Source organism: Homo sapiens, chromosome 7, assembly GCF_000001405.40.
Source record: "Homo sapiens chromosome 7, GRCh38.p14 Primary Assembly".
Classification (NCBI taxonomy): Eukaryota; Metazoa; Chordata; class Mammalia; order Primates; family Hominidae; genus Homo; species Homo sapiens.
This window is the reverse complement of record NC_000007.14, coordinates 121,158,340-121,182,376: the sequence shown is the minus strand read 5'-3', so window position 1 is coordinate 121,182,376 and position 24,037 is coordinate 121,158,340. Positions and strand designations below refer to the sequence as shown.

The window sequence follows — 24,037 nt, the reverse complement described above, 5'->3', positions numbered from 1 at the left end:
CAGTTACTGTCTCTATTAAGTGAACTTCTTTAATTTTGCTAAGAGCTAGTCTGTTTTTAATGCAGTAAAAAATACCTTAACATGGTCTACTAACTCTTCTGGCACAATTTCTATGAATTTTATATGTATTTTTTTCTGGAAATGTAACATCATTAAAACTAAAAAAAAAAAAAAAAGCTCTCATCGAATTGAAGTATTTAGCACGGGCTGACATATTCTAATGTTACCATAGCTTTTATAGTGGTTTTTATTGATTCTTATTGTCTAAAATAACAGAAATATGCAACATGTTAGAAGGGTTTGGGGCACAAAAAGTTTTATGAGGGAAGTAAGCTTGTGTGACAGCTGATATAGACACAAATGTCCCCCTAGTTTCCCAGGTTCATTTTGGAATAAACGTGACTTTTAAATTTCCAGGTACTAGTTTCCTCTAAGAATATCTAACTCAGAACCATATTAAAAGTTGTAAGACTACAATATGCCCAATTAATATGCATCTAATATTCCTTGATTTAGAGTTATCTGACAATAATATGCCAGCCTTGCCAGGAACTAGGTGTGTGACCTGTGGAAAGTCACTCAACCACTCTGTGTTGTTTTATTTTTCTTATTTGTAAAAGGAACTTAATAATTGAACCTTTCTCATACTTATGGATGATATAGGTTTTAACAATTTTACTAAAGGTTGACTAAAATGTTAGAAATCTATTCATGCAAACAACAATATTTGCAAACTTTTAATATTAGTCAAGGTGATATTTTGGTTAAGAAATGATGACCATCTCTTAGAAAATTAAAGAGGAATTTTTATGGTATCTTGCTGACATATAAATTTTTTAAACATCTTTAAAAATCAATAACGTATTTATGTACAGATCACAGCAATATTTTTTGAGAAATGTATTTCAAACAAATATCTTTAATTCCATCCAAAAAACAATTGAGATTCTAATATGATTTAATTTTCCTGGGGACAGTCATTCTTTACCAACTGATAAGTAAATATTTCAAAATTTTAGCTACTGGAAACTTCAAGTTACAGGGTATTTTTTGTATTGTTCCCTCTGCGTGGAATATTCTTTATTCTTAGATGGTGAGTGAAATGCTTGTAAACCTTACAGACTGTCTGAAGAATATACTTGCATGTCAAGCAAACTGGGGAAACCATTCACCTTTTACAAATATATAAAACAAGCTCAGCTGAACACCATTGTTTCTCCTGCAGTATGATCATCTCTCACACAAAAACACAATAAATCCATTTAAGAATCATCACACTTCATCTCATACAGTTTCCTTGAGTACAGTAGAACCCTTACTGTTGACTATTTCTTGAACATGATGGAAAAATTATAGTTTAAAATATTATTTTGTGAAAAAGCCTCAAGTCCATTTAGAGATGAAATGAAGCCCAAATCAAATGTCATACAGTCACAGTTTCAACCCTGGCTGACCACCCTGATCCGATCCTGTCAGAGAATGCTAAGACATGTCCCAGCTAATCATCACATTAGTCCTAAAAGTAACTAAGAACATTACTTTTAGTTTTAAAAGTAACCACCTTCCATGTCTCAGGCTACGCTGGAAGTATTGGAGGTGAGGTATTAATTTTAAAGCCTATAGGTAGATCATCTAAAAATCATGTTCTGTTCCTGTCATAAAGGGTGCATTTAAGTCTCTTCCTGTTCTCTCTTCTCTTCTCCATTGTGTAGCAAAGAAAAATTGATGGAGCATGAAAATCTCGGGCTAATAATAGTATATGAAAGAAGAACAGAAAGTGTGTGCCAAGGTGTGACCCACTGAGAGAACCCTGGAGACAAGAGTGTACAGATAATGTATCACGTAATTCTAGATTTTGTCATGAATTCCATGATGTATTAAAATAATTATTTCAGGATATTATTGTCCCATTGGCTTCAAAGGATAATGCAGAAAAACTAAGAGCCTCAGAATTTTTTTAAAGAAAATCAAATTAGCTACCACATTAAAAGTCTATTTTTATTTCATTGTTGATATTTTCCAAGAAAAAATATATTTCTAAAATCTTCGGAATCCATTTGTGTGTTACCTTTTAAAACATAGGAAAAAGGTAAAATAGGCCATCAGCTGAAAACACTTGTCTCTCCTGCAGTGCGATAATCTACTCACATGAAAATATAATGAGTCACTTTAAGAATCATCACACACATCTCTTGCAGTTTGCCCAAGTGTTGGGAATTTGTCAGGAAGAAAGCTACCTATCATCTGGTCTTTGGGACCACCATGTGATACTATTCCAAGATTCTGAAAATCCAAGCAATCTCATTCACTGAGAGAATAGTCAAATGATGTGTACTTTGTGAAAGTCATACAATAAAAAGAAAAACATAACAGTAAATCAGTTTTATACTTTAAATGTGAAATTTTAGATCCCAGTGTGTATCACAGAACACAGTGCAATCATTGTTAGTTTCATTTTTTTCCCTTAAAAAACTGCAAGGTATTATAAATTGTGAATAATTTAAAACATTAAATGGTTACTAACAAAACTTCAGACTATCAAAGCAATATAATTTATTTGTCTTTGTCTTATACTAATTAAAATGTACTACTTCCCTTACTACTTTGGGGCAAGGCTAAGGAACAATGACCTTTAATACATGTTGACTAAGAAGCTAACTATAAACTGTTATGTTGGGTTTATAAGTCATTACCATTGAGCTGTTATTCATCCTAAATCTTAAACATTTGAACACATTTCAATTCATGTAAACAATAGAAAATCAAATGAGAATATGAACAAAATAAAGTGATTTTCATAATTAAAGGCTTAAAGGTATAGACACATGAAAAAAACTTCTGTTTCTGCTTAGAAGAATATGCCAGAAACGTTCCATTCTGCACACTATTGTGATAGTACTTCAGCAAGGTCTGGGGAATAAATTTATCTTCAGAATAATCCTCCCTACCCTTTAAATTTATTACATGTATACACTAGGATATAAAGGTCTATGTTAAGTTGGATACTTCCTGACATGCTTTGCTTGACTTACTCCAACCATCACTCTGTATTTCATTCAGTGCCAAACTTCTTACAGAGTATATCTATATCCACAGCTACTAATTCCACAGCTATTAATTTCTTAGGCTTGCAGCCTAGCGTCTGCCCTCACCATTCTAGGGGAACAGTTCATCTTAAGGTCTCTAACCTTCTAAATGACTAGGCCAACAGGTTGGCTCATAGTCCTAACACCCATACCCCATCATTTTCCTTCAGGGCCTGACTTCACTGATCACTCCATTTTGAAACATCTTTCACTTTTGGTTTCCAAAACACGGTACAGCTTTGTTCTCCTCCCATATCTCTGACCTTGTTTTTCTGCTGTATGTGCTGGCTCCAAACTTTCTCCTACCTTCTAAATATAGATTGTCTCCTTGGACCTCTTTGCTGCATCCTGTTCTTTAGGTAGTCTCACCTGGCTTCACAAAGTTATCACATTTATACCATTGACACCTGCATCTCCAATCCCGGTCTCAACATTCCCCTTCAGGTTTCAATTTAGTTGCCTGACAACCCTGCTACATGACCTACCTGTACCTTAAAAATTCAACTTGTCCTGCGAACATTAGCATATTCTCTACAAGGTCAGCTCTTCTTGCTTTCCCTGTGTATTTTTGGAGGCACCATTCACCCTCAGTCATCTAAGTTCAAATGCTTCCATCATGATTGACTGCTTTGGTTCTGTCACTCCTGGCATTCCATTCCTCCAATTTTAATTTGGGACACATGTACTTTGCCATTGTAGTGTAGGCTGTCACATCTTGCACAGTCCTTACCACCTGTCTGCACAACTTTTTTGTCCACGTTTAAGATTCATATGATTCATCGTCAATTGTACTTGAAGTGGATCTTTCTCATCAAGCTGTCCCCCATTCCCTGTTTACCTCTACATTACAGCACAGAGTTAATGCCCTTCACCATAACAACAACAAGAACAACAACAAAAATACGCATGTGTATAATAGGTGCAAGTTTCAAAGACCACAAACTTGGTGTGTAAAATGTAACTTTCTTTCTCTGAAAAGAAATTTAATTTCTAGTTAAATACCCATTCCTCAAGGAAGTCAGGATGGGCAACTTTTAGATGCTTTTTCATTCAGTGGTGTTGTCTCTGATGCTGTTTTCCCAATATTCCTTACTGTCATTTCTCCTCTTTTCACCAGTTGGTGGTTCATTGCCCCCTCCTCAGAGGCTGCATGCCAAAAAGTGAGGGTGAGGTCCTCTCTGCTACTAGGTCCTCAATCTCTTTGTGGTTCTTCTGACAAAAAGATCTGGATTCAAGAGCCCCTCCTCGTGAATACTTCCTAGCACCTACCTCCTTTACTTCCCCATTGCTTTTTCTTTCTGTTCTCCAATTCAGAGAACTGTAATATCTTGGGGATGACAATAAGGGATTAAATCCTAGAATCCTTTCCTGTAGGGAAGAATCCAGATTATCTAATGGACTTTATTTTCTTACTTGCATTCATGCTATAACAACTTTACCCCCTGGTCATAAGAATAGAACACAGCAGATGCTTCCTGCATGGAAGGAAGGTAGGGGCAGAAGGAAAAAGGGGGAAAGAAGCATAGCTTATTACAAAATGTCATGTCATGACATTATAGTAGCAGAACTTAAAGACCACTTCAGAAAGGATTATTGCCAAGCTGCAGTACAGCACTTTCTCCTCACTGCTCTTTGGAAGGAACTAGCCGTTGCACTGTTATATGTGTGTAACTCTTTATGGAAAGAATTATTTTAGGTAAATATATGGGCAATATATGCATTTTGTTTGGCTTGTACACAATATATGCATTTCTTTGGCTTGGCTTAAACCTTTTTAAAAAGTGTTTTTTAATTGAGAATTTTCACATAAAATCCACATTTTCTGCTTTTTTAGAAAAATATAAAAAATTGGCAACATCAGGAACTTGTACAAAATTGACTTAAATACAGCTTGTAAAGTCGGATAGAGAAACATGGTGAGTAGGCAAGGAGACAGAACTAATATCAACTAAGCACTTTCTATGAGCTCGACAACTGCACACACGAACACACACACATATCATTGAATCCTTGAAGTTAGGGAGGTAAGATGTTATTATTCTCATGTCAAAAAGCTAGCAAGTGACAGAGACAGGAAAGGAACCTGCATCTCTCTCACAAGGAAAGCACACTACTAGACAAGAAATGGCGAGAAAAGAATGTAGTCTCAATGCATCTAAATCTCAGTGGTACCTTCTGGGAATGAGAATGCATAGAAACCAACAGACCAAACAAAATACCAAAATCTACGCTACTGCCATTCTTTGCTGCTTTGAAGCAAGTCTCTTTTTGCCAGAGTTCTCTTACTTCCTAGGCAGTCAAATTAAGTAGCTACAAGTCAGAACATGACAGATTTACTTTAAAGCTATCAACAATTCTATACTTTGGAGTACTTCTAGTCACTATTATCACAGATGCTTCCTTTCCAAGGATGGCAGAAATCTCTGTGATAGAAAGAATATAAATAACCTGTATTTTACTTCAGATTGCCTTGGTCCTTTTCAAAATAGGAGAAGGCATACAACAAGTTATATTAGCGCAGCTCTTTCCACTGCCTCTATAAATGCATAAAGTAGCAATTTTCTTTCTAAACCAAATCTGTTTGGCAAGATATAATTGCTGTTATAAAAATTTAAAAATGGTCCTCTTCAGGGGAGTTTACACCTTTCAGATATTTTTGAGCTATTGTCATGACGTTCACCTTTCCCTGTGGACATATTTGACTCCTTTAATCATGGCTAATAAATCAATCCTTTCATCCTCTTAATTTTTCTTGTTATTCTCTGAACTCCATCCAGTTGGCTTATATGTATTTAGTAATGTGCAAACCAAAACTAAATGTAATATTCCAACTGTGTTTTTTTTCAGTATTACAAAGGTGATATTTTAAAAGCTATTGATTCCCTGTAAAACATGTTTAAAAAAAAAAGAAATCAGAGAAAATGAAAGGAAATAGTGAGAAAGAAATAGTAAGGGATCCTATTAATGTTGCAACTTTGTGATTTATTTATGGATATTCCCTGATTTCAATTATAGGAGGCTTATTACTATTAGTTATTTAACTAACTATGCAATTCAAGTTATTTCCAGAGGTGTTTTTTTTTTTTTTTTTTTTTTTCCAGCGGGGAGGATGGAGGGATATTGTTTGTCTATTGTTTTTAGCACATAAAACTCTCGAGTTATTTATTTAACCCTATCCCTATGGCCAGAGTCCTGCTAGTATTAGACTAATTCCTCAAGTAATTTACACCTACTTGTCATACTAAATCACCAAGCGGTATACATTCTAGACTGTCCGTTATAGGAGGGCACTCACCTCAAGTTAATTTGCTGCTTCTTGGACCCCTGCTGCCACTGTTTCTCTGAAAAAAAGATGAACCATATCCCTTGGTCCAGCTGCCTTGCCTGACAAATCTATTTGTTATAGAAAACTGCTGCGGAGCTTCTCTTGTCCTTCACTGGCTCACTCTGGTGCTGGCATCAGTCTTCCTCTATCGCTCTTTCTTACAGTGGGTCAACAGTCTTGTTGTATTGAAAAGTTCCAAAATGTGGTAGCTGTTAATTCAAAGTTTATTTTAACTTAAAAATTTGACCTTTGTTTTAAATATAATTCATCTCCAATTTTGGAACTTCCTTGAAATATTCCCATTTGAATTCAAGAAATAAGTGTTATTTCAGTAATAACATTGATGCTTTTTAGCTAAGGTAGAATAGAAGACTGGCTTTGAGTATAAGATTCTGGAACCAAACTACCTACATTTGAAAGCCAATCCATCCACTATCCTGTGTAATGAGACACTTAAATGCTCTCTGCCTCAGTTTCTGTCACAATAAAATGGGAATTTTATAATTTTGAAGTATGTTCCTTCAATATCTAGTTTATTGACAGTTTATAACATGAAGGGAAGTTGAATTTTATTGAAAGTTTTTCTGCATCTCTTGAGATAGCCATCTATGACAGATCCACAGCCAACATCATATTGAATGGGGAAAAGCTGGAAGCATTCCCCTTGAAAACTGTCACAAGACAAGGATGCCCTCTCACTACTTCTATTCAACCTAGTATTGGAAGTCCTAGCTAGAGCAATCAGGCAAGAGAAAGAAAGGCCATCCAAATAGGAACAGAGGAAGTCAAATAATCCCTGTTTGCTGACAACATGATTCTATATCTAGAAAACCCCACGGTCGTAGCCCAAAAGCTCCTTTAGCTGATAAACAACTTCAACAAAGTCTTGGGATACAAAATCAATGTACAAGAATCACTAGCATTTCTCTACACCAACTACAGCCAAACTGAGGGCCAAATCAGGAGCACAATCGCATTCACAATTTTCACCAAATAAATTACCCAGGAATACAGCTAACCAGGGAGGTGAATGATCTCTACAATGAGAATCACAAAACACTGCTCAAATAGATCAGAAATGACACAAACAAATGGAAAAACATATCCTGTTCATGGATCAGAAGAATAAATATTGTTAAAATGACCATACTGTCCAAAGAGGTTTCCAGACTCCATGCCGCTGCTATCAAACTACCAATGATATTCTTCATAGAACTAGAAAAAACTATTTTAAAATTCATATGGAACAACCAAAAAAGCCCGAATAACCAAGGTAATTCTAAGCAAAATGAAAAAAGCTGGAGACATCATGTTACCTGACTTCAAACTATATTACAGGATTACAGTAACCAAAACAACATGGTACTGGTACAAAGACAGACACATAGACCAAAGGAACAGAATATAGAGCCCAGAAATAGGACTGCACACCTACAACTATCTGATATTCCACAAAGCTGACAAAAAAAAAAGCAATGGGGAAAGGATTATCTATTCAATAAATGGTGCAAGGATAACTGCTACCCATATTCAGAAGATTGAAATTGGACCCCTTCCTTACACCATATACAAAAATCAACTCAAGATGGATTAAAGACTTAAATGTAAAACCCAAAACTATTATAACGCTGGAAGACAAACTAAGCAATACCATTCTAGGCATAGGAATGAGCAATTATTTTATGACGAAGATGCCAAAAGTAATTGCAACAAAAGCAAAAATTGACAAATGGGATCTAATTAAATTTAAGAGCTTCTGCACTGCAAACAAAACTATCAACAGAGTAAACAGACACCTCACAGAATGGGAGAAAATATTTGCAAACCATGCATCTGACAAAGGTCTAATATCCAGCATCTATAAGGAACTTAAATTTACAAGGAAAAACAAATCACCCCATTAAAAAGTGGGCAAAAGACTTTAATACACACTTTTCAAAAGAAGACAAGCCAACAATCAAATGAACAAAAGCTCAATATCACTGATCATTAGAGAAATGCAAATCAAAACCACAATGAGATACTATCTCACACCAGTCAGAATGGTTATTATTAAAATGCTGAGGAATAACACATGCTGGTGATGTTGCGGCAAAAAAGGAACATTTATAAACTGTTGGTGGGGGTGTATATCAATTCAATCATTATGGAAAGCAGTCAGGCAATTCCTCAAAGAGCTAAAAACAGAACTGAAATTTGACCCAGCAATATCATTTTTGGGTATATACCTGGAAGAATATACATCATTCTACCATAAAGACACGTGCATGTGAATGTTCATTACAGCACTATTCACAACAGCAATGACATGGAGTCCACTTAAATGCCAATCAGTGACAGACTGAAGAAAATGTAGTATATATACACCATGGAATACTATTCAGCCATAAAAAGAATGAGATCATATCTTTTGTAGGAACATGCATGGAGCTGTTCCCAATGCAGGAACAAAAAACCAAATACCACATCTTCTCACTTATAAGTGGGAGCTAAATGATGAGAACTCATGGACACAAAGAGAGGAACAATAGATACTGGGACCTACTTGAAGGTGAAGGGTGGTAGACAGGAAAAGAGCAGAAAAGATAACTATCGGGTACAAAGGCTTAGTACCTGGGTAAGGAAATAATCTGTATAACAAATCCCTGTGACACAAATTTACCTATGTAACAAACCTGCACATGTAACCATGAACCTAAAAGTTAAAAAAAATAAAGTGGGGATATTAATAGGAGTACCTGTTTCACAGGGTAGTGAAAGTAAATGAGTATGGAGATGTAAACACTATTATTTTCTTAAAATTATTTTGTATTATTTTGTTACAATTATAATTTAGTTACAAGAACTACTGAAGAACTGCCAGTTCATTGAGCCAAATGATAAGATACCAACCCCCTGTCAGCTGCCCAACAAAAATGGTCTCTGCCTTTAAGGATGTTGACTTCTAGATAGAAATTCAAATATGTATACACACAAAGATGACTATCATAGGGCAGTAGATATGTGTTCTTCAGAATCTTTCATTCAGTATAAACTTTGAAGCTATTAATCACTGGACATCTGTAAGCTGTCAATACAAAATCTGTCTTATTCTTCTAAGCCTTCTTCATAACCAGTTGGCTCTGTCCTTACATTGAGCAATCGATCATATGCATTTACTCTAGGTTTCCTTAATTTATATCCCAGTTGGGAACTGACTTTTTTAGCAGAATTAGACATGTAATATTAAAGTCCTAAAATATACAAGAGTTTTAACTAATACATCTATCTATCTATCTATCTATCTATCTATCTATCTATCTATGTATCCATCCATCCAACCACCCACCCACCCAACCATTCCTCCATTCATTCATCCATCCACTTATGTCAGGTCTTCCTTATGTTTTATAAGGGCAGACACATAAATCAAAATTCTGAATGAAAACATATAAAGTTTTTAAACATATTTTATTTAAATTGGTTTACCTTTCTAGAAGAAAGCAGCAATCTATAATCTTTAAGTGTCATGTGAAGTTTATTAACTATATTAAAGGATGAAAAATATCTCTAGTTGTTCCACATCAAAATAAAAAAAAAAAAACAAGAGTATTTCAGTCAGGACAGGGTTAATGAAACTGTGAGATAGAAAAATACTCTTGGATTTCAAATCTGCTTCGCATTGTAAACTAAGCACTAGTTTTATAGAAAAATCATCATTTATCTGTAATACTATAAATATATGTCTCTCCAAGCATTCAAGCTATAAGATACCGATTACTACCTATCCAGCACAACCTTTCCCGGGGTAGACCTAATGACCCTCAACAGTGTACAGAGAGAACTGGGACTTACCAGGGGATGTGATCTGTGAGTGACCACAAGCTGTTTGACCTTCACAAGTTGTTTTACCTTTCCTGCCTTCCAGCTCCATTTCACCAATCTATTTTTTTATATAGCTGTCATTGAAAGCCACCTCAGCGCCTTCCTATTCAGAGTAGGGTTCAAATAAATAGATTTTTAAAAGAGAAAGGAATTCAAACCAAGACTTTCTGGTTCCAGATTCCAAAGTCATAGTTGAAAATACATTATTGCCCATTTGAAATCAATTTAATAGTTGCATATTCACTGATTTTATAATGAATTCATTTTAATTTAGGAAAGGTTAAATCAAGATATCCAATTCCTAGGCATTGTTAGATTTCAAAACAGTAAGAAATACCCATTTATCTATTGTGGTAGGAATACACAGGATGTGTTTACAGGAAATTAGGAAAAGTCTGGGAAAGAAAATATTCAGGGTTTTTCAAATATTTTCATAACATTACTTTATGAATGAGACTTACAAAGATGATTCAACTAGGCTATAATATATTATGTTTAATAACATGTTTAGGTTCCAGAGAAACCACTGGGGGAACAGGCTCAGGAGATGTTGGGGCTGGTATATGGATATAACAGCACTGTATATTTTTAAAATGCATTCTTCTAGTGACATTTGCAATCATATGAATAAAAGCAGAATTGGGAAAATGGTATGCTGCCAATGAAGATACAGCTATTTTTAATCAGGGAAAATTTACTAGCTAATTGGACAATAAGTGTTTATGGATTCCTCTAACTCTAGACATTACATTTTTCATTTGATATTGTAAAGTATTCCTTCTATTAAACAAACTCAGTCTTTGGAAAATATGTAAAAGCGTATTAAAGGCAGGAATTTAAGTTTGAGTAATTTTAATGTTTTGGCATAGAGACATTCTAAATTTAAATGGTAGCAGGGGCATTTTTACTGAGTAAATTAGAAATTATTTAACAATCACTTTACAAATCATTTAATGATGACAGAAAACCTCCTTGGTAGGCAAAACTAGTAGACTAAGAGACATGAAGATCTCCTTTTGAATTTTCTTATTTTTTTTTTTATGTATTTATTTGAGACAGAGTCTTGCTCTGTCACTTAGGCTGGAGTGCAGTGGCTCGATCTTGGCTCACTGGGTTCTCTGCCTCCCAGGTTCAAGCGATTCTCTTGCCTCAGCCTCCCAAGCAGCTGGGATTACAGACATGGGCCACCACACCCGCTAATTTTTGTATTTTTAGTAGAGATGAGGTTTCACCATGTTGGCCAGGCTGGTCTGGAACTCCCGACCTCAGGTGATCCACCCACCTCAGCCTCCCAAACTGCTGGGATTACAGGTGTGAGCCACCGTGCCTGGCCTCCTTTTGAATTTTAATAAAGGATAGAAACTCATTTCTTATTAAACTTTGATCTTCTCCATCATTGCATTTATACCAATTACAACTAATTTATTATTTGTATAATCTATTGAACATTTGTTTTACCCACTAGACTGTGAGCTCCATGAGAAGACGGAAGATATCTATTTTAATCAGCACTGTAGCTGGTATGTACTAATAATAATAACAGTAAGTGTTAACTTTTACTGAGTACTTATTATTCATCAGGCCTTGTGTTAAGCATTTTCTGTCTATTACTAGTAAGTTCATTTAATTATATTTATTAAGTTAACAAGTAAAATTTGTAGTGAATCAAAAGACCCTAAATTTATACAGAGAAGCACAAAAGACCTTTTGCCAAGCAGAATGAGGCCCAGGGTGAGAAGGGCCAGAAAAATTCAGCTACTCCATAAAAATGATTAAACCAAGGCTCAGAGAGGTACAGGCAACCTGCTTAAAGCCACAGGAAAAAGGTCACAAATTCCAGTATGTCCTGATGATGTGTCTGATGCCACTGAGCATAGAGCATCTGAAGAGAGATGCAGTGAGTTAGCTGCTGCAAAAACTAGACAGATTTCTTATATATGGACTCACTCTTCATCATTCACATACTCCACAAACACTCACTGGCTATCGACCTTATACCACGTGCTTTGTGAGGTGGCAGGCATGGCAAGACAAGGAAGAAAAATCTAGGGGAGATATGCATGTAAGCAAGTGTCACTAAGGTGTAGTCCATGTAAAATAGGGAAGTGTAAGGTGTAAGGAAGTGTTAAGTGTAAGGTGGGGATCAAAGGAAGAAGTGATTTCCTCCCACAGACATCGATTAAACCATTTGCATTATTGGAGCCATCCATGCTAAAGAAAAAAAAATCCAAACACAGTTCCTTCAACGTAAAAAATATTTGAATGTACCTTAGAGATTAACTCAAAATTATTTTATCAGTCCCTGGAGGAAATCACATTTCAGCACTATTATCCTGAATTTAGAGTGAAAAGAATCACTTTAGTTGCCACTTTTTCTCTCTGAACTCACTAGCCACAGATCAATAAGATCATCCATTCATTCAACAAATATTTATTGCATGTTTATTACATCAGGCACTGGGATACACGAGTGGCAAATTTAAAAGTTTAGCCATTAGTATTCTCAGTGGCATACCAAAATTTGATGATATTCTTCAGTAAAAAATTTCAACAAAATGATATTTTGATCATTATCAGATGATCAAATGATATTTTAATCATTATCAGAACTTAATGGAAACAAAAAAGCATGGATTATCTGTTGCTTCCCAATAAAACTAAATCTAATTCAATGCCATCCTATTCTTAATATAAAACAGAAAATTCCATTGAAAACAAAAATACATTTTTAAAACGGGAAATAGGATCAAAAATTTCATATTCAATAAAGTTGCTTTTTCCTAATTTTCCCAATTACCTTCTTTATAGAACTTAGTTTTTCATCCAATCATTTTAATACTGTCTTATGAATGTAATTTTAGCTAATTTAACTTATCTCTAAAAGCTATAGGCAGCTTGTTAATTTGATGTCTTTATAAAATACAGTGACTCGGAACCTATTTAATGTTGAAACTTGTATACATATTCATTTATACATGCATTCTGAACTCCTATCAATAGCATTTCAGATTTTTAAATAGCTTGTAATATTGCATTTGTTTCATTAGAATATTTTATAAGCACATACACATATTTATGTTGTATTTGAATATTAGGTTCCTGTTATCAGCCATTATAAATGTATACAGTAAAGTCTTCATTGAGGTTCTAAACTTGTTTGATTTTTCCTTTTCCTATAACTCTGAAACATTTGCAGAGTTTGCCATACTGAAGTGTCTACCTTTATAAATAGTCTTGTTTCTAAGAAATTTTACAGGAAGACAAACATCCCATGTTTTCACTTATTTGTGGGATCTAAAAATCAAAACAATTGAACTCATAGACACAGAGAGTAGAAGGTTGGTTACCAAAGGCTGAAAAGGGTAGTGGAGCGCTGGAGGAGAGGTGGGGGATGGTTAATGGATACAAAAAAATAGAATGAATAAGACCTAGTATTTGATATCACAATAGGCTATTGTCAATAATAATTTAATTGTACATTTTAAAATAACTTAAAGAGCGTAATTGGATTTTTTGTAACTCAAAAGTTAAATGCTTGAAGGGTTGGATATCCCATTCTCCATGATGTGATCATTACATATTCCATGCCTGCATCAAAACATCTCATGTACCCCATATACACCTACTACATACCCACAACAATTTAAAAATTTTTAAAAATTAAAATTATGCAGAACCATGTTTTAGTAAATAAAATTATATGTTAAAAGTGATATTTAAGAGAATACAAAGTCTTGATTCTTTAGATAGAGAAGACTACTTTTAAAATATTAAGACCTTGTCAGTCACTTTTTAAGAATTGTAAGTTTTAAAAATTATTTCAGGTTTTCTTAAAGTGAAAGAGAAAGTTTAAATATCCAGTGAGTAAAGAGGTCAGCTGATAGGAGCTTTTACTTGAGCAACATTCTCAGCATATTAAACCTCTGACCAGTAAGAGAGCCTCCCGCTATGATAGCGTTCAGAATGTAAGCCAGTAATGAACTGCTCTGCATACATAGAGAAGCTGCGCCCAACAAGGACCTCAGGAACTAAGCTCAGCTCTTTCGAGTTTAAAAGCAATAGACTTTTGGGTCAGGAGCGGTGGCTCACGCCTGTAATCTCAGCACTTTGGGAGGCCGAGGCGGGCGGATCACGAGGTCAGGAGATCGAGACCATCCTGGCTAACACGGTGAAACCCCATCTCTACTAAAAATACAAAAAAAATTAGCCGGGCATGGTGGCAGGCGCCTGTAGTCCCAGCTACACAGGAGGCTGAGGCAGGAGAATGGCGTGAACCCGGGAGGCAGAGCTTGCAGTGGGCCGAGATCGCTCCACTGCACTCCAGCCTGGGCAACAGAGCGAGACTCCATCTCAAAAAAAAAAAAAAAAAAAAAAAATAGACTTTAAAAGGTAAACTAAAATTAATGGGTTCTAGTAGTTTTCTTCAGACCTTACAGCTTACACAAAATGATTTAACTTTTATATCAGATCTCAAATATGTTATGGTGTCTGTTTCAAATTGTTATAGAATGCAGACAATGCATCTATTCTCTTCATTAAGTTTCTCAAGCAGACTTTATGCTGTGATCCTTTTCATAAATCCCATGATCTTAAACATGACTGCTCACCTTGTTAGAATACGATGCTTATAAATTAAACAAAACTCTCCAGAACTAGTGGAGGGTGAAGGATTCAATCTTGGTTGCATTCCAAAGAACTCTTTTTTCCATAAAGAAATGAATTCTGTTGGCAGCCCCTTATTCTCAGGGTTCTTCCTCACTTCTACAGGGGCCAAGGAAGGTTTCCTATGCTCTGTTGCCATCATCTTGGCTGCACTCTGATTTCATGACCTCTGAGTTAATCCTTCTTTTTTTCCTATTAACAAGTGTAAGCAGACCAACTTCAAACGGACTGCAATAGGTCACAAGGTTTAATGGGCATAGAGATAATCATCTAAATTACATTTCTAGGCCTGATGGGCTAGACAGACTTAGAGGGTCACTTTACCAGCATTTGCTGTTAATCAGCAAGGTTGGTGGGTCTCAGAGTGTAGCTGTTTTTACCTTCCTCCCTGAGGGGCTGGGTCACACTGAATGATTAGCGAAGGCAGCTGCATTAACTTTCTTCTTCCACAAAGTGTGTTGTGTCCCAAAAGGACATGAAAGTCAAATGTGGCCACAGCTCAAACACCAGACGCACTCTTTTCATCTCAGTGGAATTATCTGCCCTCTACTTGTAGATCATGATCCTCAGCACAACAGTTGTTGCTGATTTTCACGATCTGTTAACAGTTAGGAATTTTTACATTAAAGAACTTTCTCCTACATTTATTTCTTGTAGCAACTAGGAAAATGCCATAGCCTACTGTATATATTTTTTAATGCTACATGATTCTTAACTTTAAAAGGAATGAGAAAAACAGCATTACTCCAAAAAGAAGAAGAACCAAAATAATTTTACCTCTTAAAATTCTAAGATAAATATCCTTTGGGAACTGGCAGGGAGAAGAGCATCATGAGTTGTTTTTACAATACAGGCTCATACAATTTTAGTTAAATATTTCAGTTTATTATCAAAGAAAACAATAGCCTTTTTTCCTGAGTGAGATGTTAGAATGTGTATTTAACTGAAATTCAAAAAAAGGATGAACTGGAATCATTTAAAATGTATCAGTATGTCTAATATATAAGTAAATATAATATATGTCTCATCTGTATAATACTTCATAACTTGCGAAAGTCTTTTGCATCCATTATCATTTTATTCTTAATAACAATCCAGGGAAATAGGTTGGGGCAAGTATAAATTATGTCCATTTTATACATCATAGCAATTTTCCGAGAACTTAAGTGGCTTGCTCAGTGTCATTGTGGTAATAAGCGATAAAGCTAGCACATAGATTCAAATCTTCTGATGCCACACCCAATCCATGTATCTTATTGAATAACATACAAAATGTGGTCTTCTGGTGAAATGTTTTTTTTTTGTTTTTTTTTGTTTTTGCCATGCACTCAGGCCCTTGTGGCAGAGCTGGTGGGTAAGTTGTGTTTACATAATTAGCGTTCTAATGTGAGCAAAAACAGATATATTAAACTGATTCAATAAGAAGGATGTTGATTTGTCAAAATAGCCACATACATTACAATGTTTCTAAAACTTGGATGACCCTCAATAGTACAGAGTTTATAAAAGCCACAGATACATCCAATCATATCTTAGCTTGATGCTGAAGAGACCATTTAGAAAGCTAACAAATAATTGGAATGCAAATGATTTAAATGAAAGCCAGAATCAAAAGAAATGCTTGATCTTTATCAGTTCCAATCTTAAAATATATTGTCTTTCTCTGAATTGTAAAAATTTTACCTCTCCCCCAACACATGCCAAAAAGAAGAAAAGTAACAATTTAGAAACTTCAGACTTAGTGGTGGTTAATCATCCAGGGGACTGAAGTAGGGTGGGGACATATTGTGAACTCTGATGAGGTCTCTAAATATTGGAGAAAGAATGAAAGGAAAGGAAATTAAAGTATAGAGGGTGTTAATTCTAAGAAAAGGACATATTTAATGATGTATGACTTGGTCAAATGATTACTAAACATACTATCACTCTTTCATGATTGAATAGTAGGAAGACTGGGGTAAAGATTATTTGAAGCTACTCATACAAAATTGTGTCCTTAAACATGAATTTGGTCATTAATGAACAGATCCTTTATTTTCATTACTGGTCAGTTAATGAGTTTCTAATTTTTAAAGTTTGACAAAAGGAAATTTACTTTTGCTTTTAGACACTGCTTTCTCAAAAACAGTTACAAACAACACCAAAAAGAAACAAGAAAAAACACTTACTGGATACTTAAGTGAAGTTTATATACTGGATACTTAAGTGAAGTTTATATCCAACATATCCTACTTTGGCACATCTTTTATCTGATGCTTGATATTACTTTTCCTTTTTTGTTCCTTTTTGTTTTTATAGATTTAAATTATGTTTAACAAGGGCAAATAAAACTTAAGAAACATAGTAATTTATGTTAGCAAAACAATCATTGAAATACACAAATGTAAGAAAACAATGAATTTTAAAATTTCAGAGAGTTCAAGAAGAAACTTAGAAAAATACCTTTGATGTTCAGAATCACTTATAGGAAGAGTCAGAAAAGTTGAGAAAATGAAGACACATTTATGTCATAAAGAATACAGAGTGAACAATATAGGACTAGAAGTCAAGTTTTGGGAAGTACCACTAAAAGGTGTTTATTCCCTAATAAAACTATCTCCTTGGTGACATTACTTGAAATTTAGTCTTTTCACACACAAAGACAGGGTATTTTGAGAGGTAAAGAAATAGCCTTTCCTATCAGACAAATAAATGGAATATGGAAGAAATGTATTGAAAAGAGAATGCACCTGAGCTACATAATGATAAAAGCAGGTGCTTTTTATATGAAAAAGAAAAGGCATCAGCTTAGGGGTAGTAAAAGACAATGGTTCTCAAAGCGCAGTTTGGGGACAAGAGGCATGGCATCAGCATCAGCTGGAAAGTCACTAGATATGCAAATTCTTGAGCCCCATCCTAAACCTACTGAGTGGGAACCTGGGGTTTAAGCCAGCAGTCTGTGTTTTAATAAGCCCTCTGGGAAATTTCAATGCATGCTTAAGCTTGAGAATCACTAGGATGAGGAAAAGCAGTGACAAGAGAGGAACGAAAGAAGTGAAGCCAGTATCCTGGTCAACATAGTCCTACTGTCTTTCGGGGAGGGGATTCCTCAGTTGCTACATTGCTCATAATCAGTCAGAAACACTTAAGGCCTAGATGAAACTTAAGAAGTGAACTAAAGAAGTGTACTAGACCAGAGAGGAATTGGGTGGCAAATTGTGGATATAATCCTCCAAATCCACAGTGGCACACAGCCCCTTTAAATCCTGGGCCAAGTATCCAGCAGTGGGCCATGCCCTGGGGCATCTGGAAAAGGAAGTGATCACAAGGTCTTATTAGGGCCTTCAAATCAGATTTGTGATGTTCTGAGCTTTTGTTCCTTAATATTTACAAACACACAAATAGTGGAAGAAAGAGCAGAGCACCTAGCAGTAAATTGGGACTGAGGACATACTTCTAACTAAAATGTTTAGATTATTGAGGTTTTAAAAAATCATTTGGTCTATCCAACCCTGTGATGCCTGAATTCTTTCTTTAATATTGCCACCAAGTGGTCAATGAGTCTATTCTTGGGATACTTTAAAGACAAACCTGTTGCCCATTGAGAAGGCATATTTATTTTATCTTTGGAGAGCTATGGGTATGAGAATGGACTTATTTATATTGAACTGATAGCTGTCTTGTTGTGAGGCTCCATAAAATATAGGAATTCAGGACACTTGTCATTTTTTCATGGCCCATTGTTCAACCCTCTCTTATTTAGAGGGAATCCTATACTATAAATGCCAAGTAATCCTGCTCTGTCTAGTGAGCAGAACAATAACATGTGATTTAAATGTGGCTAACTGGATGCCCCACTGTAAGATTTCAAATTTGGAACAAATGACACAAGTAAGATAGGACAGTTTAGAAATTGTTCATGGCCTTGATGTTCAGCAGCAAAGGCAGAAGCAGCAGCCTGTAGGCTCTGGAGAAGAGAGTGTGTCCAGTGACAGTGGGAGTCGGGGTGGTACTTTGCCTGCAGCTCCTCCTGTTTCCCTTGATTCCTGTCCATTTTCTGCTTCTATAGTCTTCCCACAATAGCTCAATTCTGTAAGCTACCAGATATGTTTTGAATAAAGTTCCTTTTCTGCTTAGGTTAGCCAGAGTTGGTTTCTATTTCCTGCACAAGAACATTGACTAAAAAATTAGATGTAATAGAATGTTGTGGGGAGTGGGGTAGAAATGATGAAATGACATTAGAGATGTTTGATTGAAGGTTGGTTATCTAAGTAAAAGGTGGTTCAAATGCAGTTGGATAAATGGATTGGAGTCCATGAGGAGAGTTGAGACTGGAAGTAGATATTTCATAGACATCTTTTAAGTCCTAGAACTGGAGGAGATATTCAGAAGATAAACCTCAGGTAGACTTTGTTCTTTGTTTCCCAGCATCTGTCTTTCTTAAAAGAGTATTTCTAATTTCCTTTGGGAATTGATTTTGTTTATGCTTAGCTATGAGGTTTGGAGGAATTGGCCTCTTACCAGTTCTAGGGTTAGACTTCATTGGCTTAAATCAATCAGTAGTAAGTAGTTGGGTACAAAATCCAATCAGTGATAATGATATTTATGCATATTTCACAGGAACTCCCAGGAAAGTGATGTGAGGTTTTGGTTCAGCATGACCACATGTGTGGACATCTGAGAGAACCTGCAGTTGCCTGAAGGCTCCCATGTGGAGTCTGAGGGTGAGGTAACAACTAAAATACACCACAGTGAGATGGAGAGGAAACAGATGACATTGTTTAAGCACTGAATCAAACTTCACCTGGAGCTTGGAATATCTGGATTTTTTCAGTGAAATCTGCTAGTAAATCCTCTTTATTTTAAAAAACAAATCAAAGTAGGTTTTTTTGAATTAACAATATAAATTGTTCTAGTCATTGTATCCCTTCTCTTCAATTACCATCCTTCCTCCCACACACACATTAAGTTTATCATTTATGGTATGAGTGCATTGGATTATATCAGAAGACATGAACTGATGTTCTCTGTGCGGAATCTGATCACAGAATTTTATTTACTTGTTTGCCTTGCAGAGGCTTCCCTTTTAAAAATTAGTTATCAATATGTAAAACTTGAGAAGTCTTCCATTAAAATTCAAATGTTAGGTTTCTTTGGAAGAATTAGGAGATTCCACAATACTGAATCATCCTTCCAAAGTAGCAGCAAATATCTTGACCTGAGCAGTTGCTGTTCACATTTAACAGGGCATATGCTTTCCACTTAGCCATAGTCCTCACCAGTTCCTATTGCCTACACTTGGCCTAATTCTGTCATTTATATTAGCCATGTCTGAAAAGATTTGTGTTTGCAACACTTTATGGACTTAAGTCCCAGGTCTGCCACTTGTTTTCTGTGATGATACTGCCCATCACATATGGTTGTCTTATAAAGTGGTAAAATCTGACAAGAACAGTGTAGGCATTTACTACAAGAGACTGCTCTACTGTGTGAGGTTACTCCAATCATAGACAATAGTTTTAATTGAAGAATCTCAACTTGTAAGGTAAATAAATAAATGAGAAATAATTTTATTTTTTTTGAATAACTGCTACTATCCTGCTATGTTGACAAACCTACCCCCTTTCTTAATGGATCTGGTTCCCTTCACGATACTAAAGTCCTGTATCATTACACTTTAGTAATTGCCAGTTATTAAAAGTCTCATTTTCACTAAAACTTTATTCTCATTTTGATCCAAAGCTTTCCCCCAGGGAAATGTAGATTTGCAGCTCCCACTCTTTATGGTAGGCAGAGAAGTATGACAGGTCTAATTCTGAGATAGCTCTTATTCTTCCTGGCCCTTGATGTATATCCATCTTCCTCCAGTTATTCAAGCAAACACTAATCTAGGTGTTGCTGGGAGAGATTTTGCACATGTAATTAAATTCCCAAATCAGTTGACCTTAAATTAGGGAGCTAAAATCTGGGTCTAGAGGTCAGAGATAGGAAAGACAGAGAGAGAAAAATCCTGGGAGAGAGATTCAAGGTGTGAGAGTCCCCATTGCTGGCTTAGGAGATGAAAAGGACCAGGTGGCAAGGAATGTGGGCAGCCTCTGGGAACTGAGAGCAGTCCTGGACTGGCAGCTTGTAAGGAAACAAGGACCTTAACCCTCCAGTTGCAGGTAAGGGAATTCTGCCAGCAACCCCAGTGAGCTTGTCAGTGGGCTCTTCCCCAGAGGTTCCAGACAAGAATTCAGCCTGGCCAACACTTTTAGATTTTGAGCTCTGAGCAGAGAACACCGTCCCACTGCCCCTGGATTTCTAAGCTACCAAACCTGACCTACTGAATGGATGTTGTTTTAAAAGTTGCTACATTTGTGGTAATTTGTTGCACAGCAATAAAAAAAGTAACACGGAAGGGTTGGAGGTGGTGAATGGGGTCCGTTCCCTCATAACTTTCCTAAATTTTTTCCTTTTGATTTAAGGTGGGAGAAGATGGCAAAATAAATCTTTTGGGGGTCATCCCTGTTGACCTCGATCATTGTCTCATTGTTGGGGGGTAGCCTCAAAAAAGCCATGATGTTGAGGCAGTTGTCTGGAGCATTGAGAGGCTCAGCTACCTTTTCCAGCTGATCCTGATCAAAAGCCTCAGGTATCTTTTCATCTCCTGCTGGGTCCCTGAGAAGCCTACATACAAAACCCCATTTCTTCTACCTTCTACAGCTTTAACTCTGGGGACTGTGGCCTGGGACAGATATAGCTCTACCTCGAATTCCTGAGAACTCAGGGGACTGCTCCTTGCCCCTTCTTAGCCTGGCGAACCTTACCAGCAGCAGTATCTCATCACTCTCTTTCTCCCTTTCTGGCAGTACAAGGCCATTCCTCAGACCCTGTTACTAAGCAGATATTCAGCCAGGTAAACAAGCAATTTTCTCTCCCTCTTGAAGTCATCTCTAAGCTTCACAGGTGATTACCTTAAGAGGAGAAATCATGGACCCCTCTCCCTTCCCCCTCTGGGAGCAGGTTGGGGGGACATAGTCTCTCTTCATGAACAATACATTCCCCAAAGTTCACCTCTTCTCGCTCTCTATCCCCTCATATCTCTCTTGCAGCCAAATATATGAAAGTCTGAGGCTAAGGAGGCCTTCTTTTACTAAGATAAGGAGAAGAGGAACTGTACTCATACAACCTTCATGCACAGGGATATCAACACTATTCTGATGCAATAGTGATGTAATGTCATAGTGATATAATGTAATAGTGATGTAATGTAATGATGCATTTAGCATTTTTAAATCTCATGTACCCCATAAATACATACACCTACTATATATCCATAAACATTTAAAATTAAATAAAAATTAAAAAAAAACAATTTGGTGAATCTGGATGTAAAGTGTATAGGAATTGTTTATACTGTTTTTCAACTCACAAGTTCAATATTATTTCAAAACACAAAGCTAAAACAATTTAAAAATTATATATGCAAAAATACCCCATAAATGTAATCATGCATTTTAACATTTTTCAAGAATGTCATATTAATGTAACCTAGATCATAACTTTTAAAATAGGGCATGTATTTAATTTTGTATTTGGTTTGAACAGTATCATTTAATTTTACAAATATTAAGAACTTTCCAGGCATTGTGCTACGTGAGGATGATAAAAGACCTAAGCTTTGGCCTGGAGAAGTTTACCATGTGTGTGCATGTATGTGTGCGAGTGAGGGAGAGAGACAAGAGTAATATACAACAACAGAGTGTTAGCTAATTGTAGAGTTTTTAAAAAGATACCACAATTATTTCACCATCTTGAACAATATTTTTGCTAATGGGTTGGGGAATCCACGCCATTTAAAATGGAATTTAAATAAGATTGGGATTGCCTCTTTTGGTAACAATAAGAGGTAGGTTCATTTAAAAATACTTTTGAACTAAACATTTTAATATTTAAATATGTATCTAACTTCAAATTCTTTCTTATCATAATGAATCCATGTACCCGGCATAACAAATCCATGTATTTCTACTGAATTTTTTGAAGAGGTAAACAAAAACAAAAACTTCTGATCAAGTCAGAGGCCCTCATTGATCTCCCCCAAATTATAATCTCAACTCCAATTGATCACTCCCCACTCACAGATTCTGGTGCAGTTTTGAATAAACTTGAGTTTTACAAATCAGAAGAGTAAATTGTATAGATGTCTTTTTCTCTTTCTGAAACGTAAAATCTAAAATTTATACCATTTTTTTTACATACCCAATAAAAAGTGAAATCTTTATTCTCTGGGTCTGCAAAAGCAACTTTTGAAGTCGAATATATTTATCAACATACTCACTAGGGGCATTTTTTTCCCTACAGTTTTGGAGAGAGTCTGAAAACCAATACCAGTATGGTTTAGATATTCATAATTGTTTACACATGTTTCAGTAACGAAATATATTTCGGGGGGTTGGCACTTTATTTTAGGATTTGGGATAGCTGGAAATTATTATTGTTATGGTTAAAAGTGTTCTAACTGGATAATGGCATTAAAAAGAATATAACATTCTGGAATCCTTCCTCTTAACATGAAAAACATTATTTTATTACATGGAGTTATTTAAATATGGATTGGCTGTTGTCTGGCTAGTTACACATGGAAGTGTCTAAAGAAATAAGTTCTTGGAAGAAGCATCAAATAGAAAATGACTATCGTTTCTTATTATTAATAGTATTATTGTTATGCAGAGAAACCTTAGTACTCTTTTTAAGGGCTAGATGGTTAATATTCCATATCCTGCAGTGACAGATTCTAATTAAATATTTAAGAAGTGGGACATCTTTTCCAATCATGATACACAGTATCTATTACCTTGGAGAAATATAAAAATTTTTTTAATATTTGTTCCTCCAGAAAAAAAAAAAAAGATGATTAATAAGGGACTCTGTGTCTCCCAGAACCTGAAATGTTTCTTCTAAGGAGCTAGACTATGTTAAGAGCCAAGAGGAAGCAAGGTTCAAAGGAAATTCATCTAATATTTGTGCTCTGGTTATGAAAGGGGGTGAGAAGCTGTTCATCAGCGGCATGTGTCCAGTTGGCAGGGAGGGCTGAATGCCAGACTGGGGTTATCGTGATCACAGATGGACTTAGCAT

At 35.7% G+C, this 24,037-nt stretch overlaps 1 protein-coding gene and 1 long non-coding RNA gene across 6 annotated transcripts in view, besides 2 other annotated features; one reads left to right on the top strand and one right to left on the bottom strand.

Moving 5' to 3' along the window:
- CPED1 (cadherin like and PC-esterase domain containing 1) overlaps positions 1-24,037 on the bottom strand; it is a 308,732-nt gene that overhangs the window by 115,066 nt on the left and 169,629 nt on the right. The window lies entirely within an intron of this gene.
- LOC124901735 (uncharacterized) overlaps positions 1-24,037 on the top strand; it is a 122,886-nt gene that overhangs the window by 84,373 nt on the left and 14,476 nt on the right. The window contains exon 3 of the long non-coding RNA XR_007060494.1: positions 1,713-24,037. This exon is cut by the window's right edge and continues 14,476 nt beyond it. This is a non-coding gene — a long non-coding RNA (uncharacterized LOC124901735). The remainder of the gene's footprint in view (positions 1-1,712) is intronic.
- Positions 1,628-1,857: an enhancer, noted in NCBI's record as "active region_26559". NCBI's record gives its function as "activates an Ori minimal core promoter by ATAC-STARR-seq in GM12878 lymphoblastoid cells {active_cell/tissue: GM12878}" and the evidence as "EXISTENCE:reporter gene assay evidence [ECO:0000049][PMID:35858748]".
- Positions 3,227-3,386: an enhancer, noted in NCBI's record as "active region_26558". NCBI's record gives its function as "activates an Ori minimal core promoter by ATAC-STARR-seq in GM12878 lymphoblastoid cells {active_cell/tissue: GM12878}" and the evidence as "EXISTENCE:reporter gene assay evidence [ECO:0000049][PMID:35858748]".